Source organism: Homo sapiens, chromosome 5 (assembly GCF_000001405.40).
Source record: "Homo sapiens chromosome 5, GRCh38.p14 Primary Assembly".
In the NCBI taxonomy this organism is placed as follows: Eukaryota; Metazoa; Chordata; class Mammalia; order Primates; family Hominidae; genus Homo; species Homo sapiens.
This window is the reverse complement of record NC_000005.10, coordinates 34,496,443-34,506,077: the sequence shown is the minus strand read 5'-3', so window position 1 is coordinate 34,506,077 and position 9,635 is coordinate 34,496,443. Positions and strand designations below refer to the sequence as shown.

General features: G+C 45.3%; 3 annotated features.

Moving 5' to 3' along the window:
- Positions 2,874 to 4,073: an enhancer, noted in NCBI's record as "CDK7 strongly-dependent group 2 enhancer chr5:34502110-34503309 (GRCh37/hg19 assembly coordinates)". NCBI's record gives its function as "activates an origin of replication core promoter dependent on BRD2, BRD4, P300/CBP, MED14 and CDK7 cofactors, with strong dependence on CDK7, by STARR-seq in HCT116 cells {active_cell/tissue: HCT116}" and the evidence as "EXISTENCE:reporter gene assay evidence [ECO:0000049][PMID:35650434]".
- Positions 6,250 to 6,319: an enhancer, noted in NCBI's record as "active region_22464". NCBI's record gives its function as "activates an Ori minimal core promoter by ATAC-STARR-seq in GM12878 lymphoblastoid cells {active_cell/tissue: GM12878}" and the evidence as "EXISTENCE:reporter gene assay evidence [ECO:0000049][PMID:35858748]".
- Positions 6,770 to 6,919: an enhancer, noted in NCBI's record as "active region_22463". NCBI's record gives its function as "activates an Ori minimal core promoter by ATAC-STARR-seq in GM12878 lymphoblastoid cells {active_cell/tissue: GM12878}" and the evidence as "EXISTENCE:reporter gene assay evidence [ECO:0000049][PMID:35858748]".

Genomic DNA, 9,635 nt, shown 5'->3' with positions numbered 1-9,635 from the left:
TATTAGCTTTCTATTGCTGCCATAACAAATAATCACAAATTTAGTTACTTAAAATAATACCAATTTCTTATCTTGCAGTTCTCTACGTTAGAAGTCCAGGTACAGCATGGCTCAGATGGGCCATCTGTTTAGAGTCTCATAAGGCTGAAATCAGTGTGTTGGCAGGGATGCACTCCTTTCTGGAGGCTCAATCCACTTCCAAGCTCATTCAGTTGTTGGCAGCATTCAGTTCCATGCAGTTATAGAACTGAGCTCCCTGGGTTTTCTTGTTTGTTTGTTTTACTAAAATAGAGACAGGGTCTTACTAGGTTGCCCAGGCTGGATTCAGACTGCTGGGCTTATGTCATACCCCCATCTCAGCCTCCTAAGTAGCTGGGATTAAATTGTGTGCCAACACACCTGGCTCAAGAGCTCCCTGTTCTCAGTTTGTAAAAGCTGCCTGCATTCCTTGGCCCTCTTCATCTTCATAGCCAGCATCTCACGTTTTAAGCCTCTCTCAACTCCCCTTCTGCCTCATTTCTGCTTTCAGACAGAGAAAATTCTCTGTTTTAAAGGGTTCATCTGATTAGGCTGGATGAGCCCCATATAATACAAGATAATCTCCCTGTGTTAAGGTGAGCTGTACTCTTAATTACATCTGTAAAGTCACTTGATGACAATAACTAGATTAGCATTTGATTGAATAACCAGGTGACAGGAATTTTGGGAGGACATCTTTAAAATTCTGCTAACCACAGGGAATATCTCAAATTGTAGGATAAAAAGATCTATGAACTAAAAAGTCTAATTAATTGCCCCACATACACCAGAAATTCAAGGTAAACCAGAGACAGGATAATTACTCCCCTTCAACAGGGGAAAGATGTGAGGTGCAATGCATTTACTGATCCATAGCAATTCTGAAACCTCCTAGGTCAATGTTACCAAGTTTCCTTGCTCTGGAAAGAGGTAACATTTCTTGATTCAGCCCAGGTTCTGCTCCCTGGGAATAGTTCTCTAATCTATTTTTCTGATTCTGCTTTTTGGAAGATCCTTTTGTTCTCATCATCTCCCTTGCTCATTTCTACAGGGGCATTGTAAAACAGGTCATTTTTGGTGGCTTAGCTGCATTCACTGCCTGTTTCCTACTTGGGGTCTCAAGAGTGGTTTTACATTTCAAATAATCCTTGTCTGTCTTAGGCCAGGCTCTAAGTGCTTTTGTCAATAAACTAGAAACCTTTGTGGGTTTTGAAATACCCAAAGATTTTTAGATTTGACTCCAAAATTGGCTGGGTGTGGTAGTTCATGCCTGCAATCCATACTTTGTGAGGCTGAGGCAGTAAGATTGTTTGATGCCAGCAGTTCAACACCAGCCTGGACAACACAGCAAGACCCTGTCTCAAAAGAAAGAAAGAAAGAAAGAAAGAAAGAAAGAAAGAAAGAAAGAAAGAAAGAAAGAAAGAAAGAAAGAAAGAAAGAAACTAAAAAACAAAAAAAGATTTGATTCCATTCCATTCCATGTGCCAAAAGTCATAGCCATAATTCTTTTAAACTATGCTTCTCTCTTTAGACATAATTACTGCTAATTTAGGCATACCAGGCTGCTGTGGAAACATGCCCTTAAGCTTCCTAAGACTCGTTTTGTCTAGCAGCATGAACTGTTTACATGGGCAGCCTGTCTGAAGACAAAGTATTAATATAACATTTTTGACCTCTCGAGTTCTCTATTAAAGGTAAAGCCCTTATAAAGGAAATTTTCTGGAGCCTGTCAAGAAGCTGCTTTCTGTCATGCTGTCCCACTCTCTTGCCTAGGTATAGACACATAATCAACAATGATCATTTAGACAGAGCAGCTTGGGAGCCAGGCAGGGTCGTGGTGCTTGCCAGACCTCAGCACCATTAACTGTAATCCTTTGTCATAGGACACAGCCACCCGGCCAGCTCTGCCTTTTCCTTCACCCCTCTTACAAGCTGTCACTTGCTTTCAGAAATCTTGCCAGTTGGCCTGGGAATCAAACCCTGTGGGGTGACCCATGCAAGAAGATGCCTATCACCAAGTACATGCCTTAATTACTGCTGTCACCTGAAAATAGCCATACGAACCAAAGCAAGTGCGTGAATCTGAGACAGCAACAAAATCTGTATCAGACCATTTTGCGCCAGAAAGTCCTGAGTTCTCTGGGTCAGGGCTTTTTAACAGAATAGAAAGGAGCCCCAGCAATTGTCTCTCATCCTGTAAATCTGCCCAGTGTCTGTCACATAGTTGGCAAAGACACTGATTTTTCAGAGGCAGTCAATGCTGGCAGACAATCAGGATATCTGAAAGCCCTTTTCTTTTGGGAATAGCAAAACTTCCACAGCTCACTTCATGCTGATCTTCTCTGAACTCAGTCTTTTTGTGACATTTCTAAAAAAAAGAGCAGTTAAAAACTACGAAGTTAATTCTTGAGCTATAGATGAATTCCTTCTAAGTACCACAACTATGCTTTGGGTAGTTGCTACCTGGTGAATGTTAATAAGTATACGCTCAGGGCAATTTAGACTGTGGTTTCCAAACCAGGAAGAATAACATTTTAAAATGATAGATTACTAGACAGTGCTGGAAGATTCTGGTTTTGGATGGAGTCTAGAAACATGTTTTAAAATGTTCTTCAGGCATAATAGGTGCAGTTCATTGTTGTAAAAAATAGGATCCATATTTTGGTGATTTTACACAATCAAAATGTCTTTCTTGCTCATATAACAGTTCGGTAAATGTGTCCTGGGTTGGTGGGTAGCTTTCCTCTGTATCACGATTCAGAGACCCAGGATTCTTTCATTTTGTGCCCCAAAGAGAACACCAAGTAATTGCGGCAATGCCACAGCAGAAAGAACCTATCGTTCCTGGGGCTGGGGAAACAAAGAGAAGAGGATGACATTATTGAAACTTGTGAGGGCTCCCATAGAGCAGAGATGCAGACATCTGAGAAGGAGGCTGCCATTCAGCTGCTGCTGCTGTCCCCAAGCTTGGAGTGGGGCTCCACGGGGCTGTGACTGGCTGAGGAGTGGGTGTTGGTTGGCTGCTGCTGGGGTCTCCAAGAAGGCACAATGAAGCTAGTTCTGTGCGTGCTGGGAAAACTGCACACCGGATTCAACTGCTGCTACTGGAATGAACTGCCTCTGCTGGAGAAAGATGCGGGCCTAAGGTGAGGCTGGTGGGACCTGGAGGCAAACAGGAAACCCACAAAAAGCAAGTGGGAAGGAGCAAATCTCTCCTTCCTTCCCACGCTTCCAGTTTTCTTCTAGAATCCATGTTGGCAGAAGCCGAGAGGAAGTCAGTTGGCAAAGCAGAAGCCCAGCCCCAGCATTATACAGCAGAGAACAGTTGAGTGGGTGTGAAGGTGAGAAGCAGTAACTCAGTCACTGGCACCATGACGGTCCTTGGGTTAGGGGCAGTGGGTAGCCCTAATCACCCATGCTGGATTCCTTCCGTTTCCCTCTTTGGATTTACTCTCCACCCTTCCCACCTTCGCAGTGTCCCCAGCTGTTGTCTGTGTGATGCACAACAGGCTGCCTCGCACTCTAGCTTCTGGCTGTGAGCATGGCTAAGAGGTGGAGAGAAGGAGGGGAGTGAGGATGGGACACACACTGACCTGATTCCCAGCGATGGGTCTGCTGTGTTTTTCCTTGGAGCTCCTCCTTTCTTCCTCTTAAGACCACGGGGTGGCAACACGGTTTTGCTGCTTTTAGTCCCAGCACACGGCACCATTTTCTGTGGGTTCCCAACAGCCAGTTCCCATCTCTGTAATTTGTTTCTTTATTAGACTCTCCTCACATCCTCCTAATTTCAGAGTGCCACTGTTTTTCTGGGACCCTGACTGATAGGCAGTCTAAGCTTGAGATGAAAAGAAGTGGACACAATTACAGGGAACCAGAGAGGAGACAGCCAAAGGGGAGAAAGCCACCTAAGGGAGCAATGGCCTTCTGTAGAGGCACTGCCAATTGGGTGTCTCAGTGGGGAGGCAGATGGTTCATGCAGATGGTGGAAATAATTAACCCAACATCTTTCTCCCCTCTTCCAGTTCCTGACTTCCTCTGACCGCTCTCCACTGGCCAAACCCAATGAGAAGACAGAATTGAGGCTGTCGGTAGTGTGTCCTCAGAGATCAACCACCTTGGTCAGACAGGAGGTTGAAGAAGGCTGGAAAGCAAAACTGGAGGGTGAACAGAAAAGTTCCAGCAATCGGGACACTGGGGGCATTTGACACACAGGTCAGATAATATACAACCACCCTACTCTATGCAAAAAATTTATTTTCAATACTATTCAGAAATAATTACTTTGATCTTGATTTAATCCTTAGCTTTAAACCAATTCACAACCTAGAAAGAATGCATTGGCCGGGCATGGTGGCTCACGCCTGTAATCCCAGCACTGTGGGAGGCCGAGGTGGGCGGATCACCTGAGGTCGGGAGTTGGAGACCAGACTGACCAACATGGAGAAACCCTGTCTCTACTAAAAATACAAAATTAGCCGGGTATGGGGGCACATGCTGGTAATCCCAGCTACTCAGGAGGCTGAGGCAGGAGAATCACTTGAACCCGGGAGGCAGATGTTGCAGTGAGCTGAGATCGTGCCATTGCACTCCAGCCTGGGCAACAAGAGTGAAACTCTGTCTCAAAAAAAAAATGCATTTAAATGTACAGGTATTATTCAAATTCAGTAAAACATAACATGAATGAATTTAATTTTGCACTTATTAAAGAAAAAGATTGCACATCACAGCTCTAGACTTAAGTTAAAAACTCCACTGGGCATGTGCAATGACAGAACTGAAATAACTCAAGGTATGTTTCTTCCTCTTTACAAACTTGGCACTGTCATAGTCTATTTTGAGTTTATTGTTTAAATGTACACATGTGCCATACCATAGGGTTTTGGAGAAATGAGCTATATCCCAAGAGAGTTTCAACAGTTCGAAGCTGTTGAAGACTTACACTTGAAACAAATATGTGTAGCTGAGTCTGTGTGTAGCTGTATTTGGACTAAATGCTAACTGGATGTTCTCTGAATTAACTTCCATGTGGCATACGGTGTTTCTTAAAATATAAGATATGAAGAGCAGGCTATTTAAAGCTTGCATACACATTATTAAAATTCAACATTAACTGCCACAATAGTTTGAAACTTAGACCAACAAAAGGTTGCTTTACTGATATCGTTTAGATTTGCCAGTGCTTGGTGTTAATAAAAGCAGATCAATTTGGTGTGGGTTTCATTATTGCTTTTAAAGTCTCTCTGGGTCATGCCTGCACTGGGGTGGACTGCTCCCCTGCCCGCCCGTGGCCCACTGCTTCATTGAGCCCATCTTTTGGGTGTTTTCTGTCATAACTTCTGCTTGCTCAATTTTCTGCTTACTCATAACTTCGCCTCTCACAAGATCTTGTGAGCTGCTCTCACCAGTCCTTACCTTCCTACTTTGGGTCCCATTGTCTCCTTTCTTAATCTCCCAGAATGACGTAATTCAAATCCCTGCAAGAGAGACTTTTATTTGGCCAGCACATCTTTTGGAGCAGACAATATCACTGGCTTTCAGCTAGACGGTGCATTGACCCTATTGGCTCTGGTAACCAGAGGAGGATGGGTTCACTGACCCAAATCATGCCTGTCCAGAAGGGGCTCTGTGCAACACAGTTTCCGGGATTGGTGAGTGTAATGCCCGGAAAGTTTGAACATGCATAGAAATCCCTAAGGCAAACAAGAATTTATTTGTAATATAGTAGATAGAGCGCTGGATGTGGAGTCAGGTGTACCTGGTCTTAAATCCGCTCTGTGATGTTTTTGCAAGTCTGATATTTCCTCATCCTTAGTTTGCTTGTAGCGAAATAGGTGTTTTGGCTGGACGTGGTGGCTCATGCCTGTAATCCCAGCACTTTGGGAGGCTGGGGCGGGTGGATCACCTGAAGTCAGGAGTTCGAGACCAGCCTGACCAACATGGTGAAACCCCGTCTCTACTAAAAATGTGAAAATTAGCCGGGCGTGGTGGTGCACTCCTGTAATCTCAGCTACTCAGGAGGCTGCGGCAGGAGAATCACCTGAACCTGGGAGGTGGAGGTTGCCGTGAGCCAAGATCGTGCCATTGCACTCCAGCCTGGGAAACAAGAGTGAAACTCTGTCTTGGAAAAATAAAAAATAAATAAATAAATAAAAACAGATGCTTCATTTAGGTAGAGAATGCAAGCCCTAAAACTTAAAAATGCTGAAACGAAGTCATAGCAAGAAGTCTAGCTGTGGGTGGCTGCCGGCATTGGTTCAGGGTCAGCTTCTCAGAGCATCTCTTGGCCTTTCTCCTATACTTGTCCCACCACAGTTGCATGATGGCTTTTACAGCTGTAGACATCCTGTCCTTCTCCAGATAGGAAGAAAGGGGAGGTGGTGATGAGCCCATGGACCCAAGTTTATGCCTATTAGGAAAAGCGAAGGGCTCCCCAGACTCCCAGCAGATTTGCACTGATGTCTCTTCTGCCAAGGCAGTGTACAAGGCCACCCCTGGCTACAGGGCAGGCTAGGACAGGGGTATTTGTGTGGGGCTAGACATAGGTTTCCCAGAACAAAACTGAGATTATACCAGCAGAAACACAGGAGAGGGGACAGGCATTAGGAAGGTGGGTGGGATATCGCAAAGGGGTTAAATCTATCTGATCTGTTTCCTTCCAGGGTGGTTGTGAGGATTAGACATTTGTGAAATGTGCTATGGGGTTGTATTAGTCCATTCTCACACTGCTATAAAAAGCTGCCTGAGACTGAGTCATTTATAAACAAAAGAGGGTTAATTGACTCATAGCTCTGCATGGCTGGGGAGGTTTCAGAAAACTTACAATCATGGTGGAAGGCAAAGGGGAAGCAAGTACTTTCTTCACAAGGCAGCAGGAGAGACAGGAAGTACCACACTTTAAAACCACCAGCTCTGGTGAGAACTCACTCACTATCACGAGACCAGCATGGGGAAAATCACCCCCATGATCCAATCACTTCCCACCAGGTCCCTCCGTCAACATATGGGGATTACAATTTGAGATGAGATTTCGGTGGGGAAGCAGAGCCACATCATATCAGGGGCCCTTCTCAAAATGAAAACATGAAGCTCCCCTACTTGATCATTCTATTTCCTATGGCTGTTTTCCTAAAGATCGGCCCTTTTTTCCACTTTACTTTGAGAACCACCAAACAAAATTGAGTCTGGCCTGACACTGCGTACCCTTTTCCCTTGCAACCTCATCTCTTCATGTGCCCTTTGCCCTCTGATGACTCTAACCTCTTTCGAAGGTCCTTGAATTCACTAAGATTTGTTTACTCAAGGGCCTTTACTTTTGCAATTTTCCCTGCTTGGAGCAATCTTCCTCCTTTCTGTTCCTTCTGCAGAGAAGTCTACCCTGACTCTCAACCAATGTGAAAAATCCCCTTGCTCTTTCCTGGCTTTCTTTCAGAGTGCCGAGCACAGTCTTCATTTCTGGATAGTCTATTGATTAGCATTTATCTGCTTGAAAGGCAGCCTAACTGTAGCATTTGAGGGCCTGAGTGCTGGAGCTAGACTACCTGGATTTAAGCGCTTCCCAGCTGTGTGATCCCGGGAAAGTTATTTTAATGTCTGGTGCCTCAGTTTCCTCATCTGTAAAAATAGAGATATTAATATCACCTACTTCATAGGGTTGTGGAGGGGATTAACTGTTTATATTTGTAAAGTGCTTAGAGCAGTGCTCTGTGCATAGCAGAGATTATGCGAGTATTACATAAATAAAAGAAATAATACCTGTTTCCTCCACGATACTGTGTGATCTATAAAGAGGAGAACTGTATCTGTTCTTTCACTGTAGTGGTTAGCACAGTGCCAGGCCATGTTATTGTTGTTGTTGCTGTTGTTTTACATCCAGCGAGTATTAAATATTTGCCAAATAAATGAATAAAGAAATAAATAACTGAGTGATGTTCTAAATTGGAGTGGGAGTAGAACAACGTTGCAACATCTCAGGGTTTCAGAAAATATTATTTAAGAAGTAGAAGGCTGGGTGCAGTGGCTCATGCCTGTAATCGCAGCACTTTGAGAGGCCGAGGTGGGTGGATCACCTGAGGTCAGGAGTTCGAAATCAGCCTGGCCAACATGGCAAAACTCTGTCTCTACTAAAAATTCAAAAATTAGCTGGACATTGTGGCACATGCCTGTAATCCCAGCTACTCAGGAGGCTGAGGCAGGAGAATCACTTGAACCCGGGAGACAGAGGTTGCAGTGAGCTGAGATCGCGCCATTGCACTCCAGCCTGGGCAACAAGAGCAAAACTCTGTTTCAAAAAAAAAAAAAAAAAGAAGTAGAAGTTTCTAGCTCCATTGGGAGTTGAATTCCTGCCTGTGGGGTTTGTTGGAACTGAATCTTCCATGACAAAGTGTGGGACTGGTGTGGACCATCAGTAGAATCATTGCTTCCCCGCTTCTCCTTGCTTCCCCGCTTACAGTAATTGCCTCCTCTTGGAGAACTGCTAGGTCTCAGACCACCTAGGAAGTGGAATTGAGACCCTGTGAGACCGATGCACAGGCTCCCACCCATGTGGAAAGCTGCAGCCCTGATTAGGTGTTTGGCTGGCTGACCCCACCACCCTTGGGACCGCGGTTTCCCTGAGTAGCTTGAGCTCTGGCCCTGGTCACGACTCAGGGTTGTTCTGACCCTCTCAGAAGAGAATTTTCCAAAACCCCAAACAACGACAGCTTTATGGGCCAGCTGCACTCTGTTCCCTTTGAGAGGCAACCAGAGCTCTTAAATCACATGAAAAACACATCCAAGTTGTGCTGTGGGGACTCACATCAGGCAACTGGCTGCTCTACTCAATTCTTGTCCAACACTAGGTCTCCAAGGAGCCATTTGAAGCCCAGTCAAATAGACCTCGATCACCCTGGCTGGCTGCCAGAGCCTGATGGTCCTCTGCCTTCAGAGCCTCTGCAGCGTGAGCGCTGGACAATTTCCTGTGGCCCATGGTCTCCCCAGCCAGGTTAACGTTCAGCCTCCCTGTCTTCTGGATCCCACCTTGTTTTTCTGTTTTGTTTGCTGAACGGCCTCAGGGTTTCCCCTTTCCTGCTCCAGCCCATCTGGAAGTCTCTTTATTAACAGTTTATTTGCAAGCTCATGGTGGTCTATGAACTTGTCTGAAATTTCCTGGAAAAGAAACAACTGCTTGAGTCCCAGGGGAACCTTCTGTCAGTCTCTCCTCAGACAATTCTGAGTGGCTATTCATGTGGTATGTGGCTACTCCTCCCCTTTCACCCACCCCCACACACCTTGAAAACAGCCTCCAGCTCCAATAAAAACATTTCAGAAGTCCTGACAGAGAGCAAAGACTGCGTTCTACTCCTAAAAGAGTGTAGCCTGCAATGGTACCGAGTATGTGGGGGATGCCACCTTCTAGGTGGGCTCTTCAAGGATAGTTTGAGGAGAAATCCTAGGCGAGCCTTTTAGAAGCTATTACTTGCCGTTTGTTGGCTTGTGAGCGAGAATTTCTAGCCCCGCCGAGGTTTGGTTGTGAGAACCAAGCCGTGAGCTGGGGAGGAGGGGAAGGGACCGATGCTGAAGATCTGCTTCCTATTTCTCCTATTCCTCCCTGCCTTCCTATTTCTGCCCACTAGGATGAG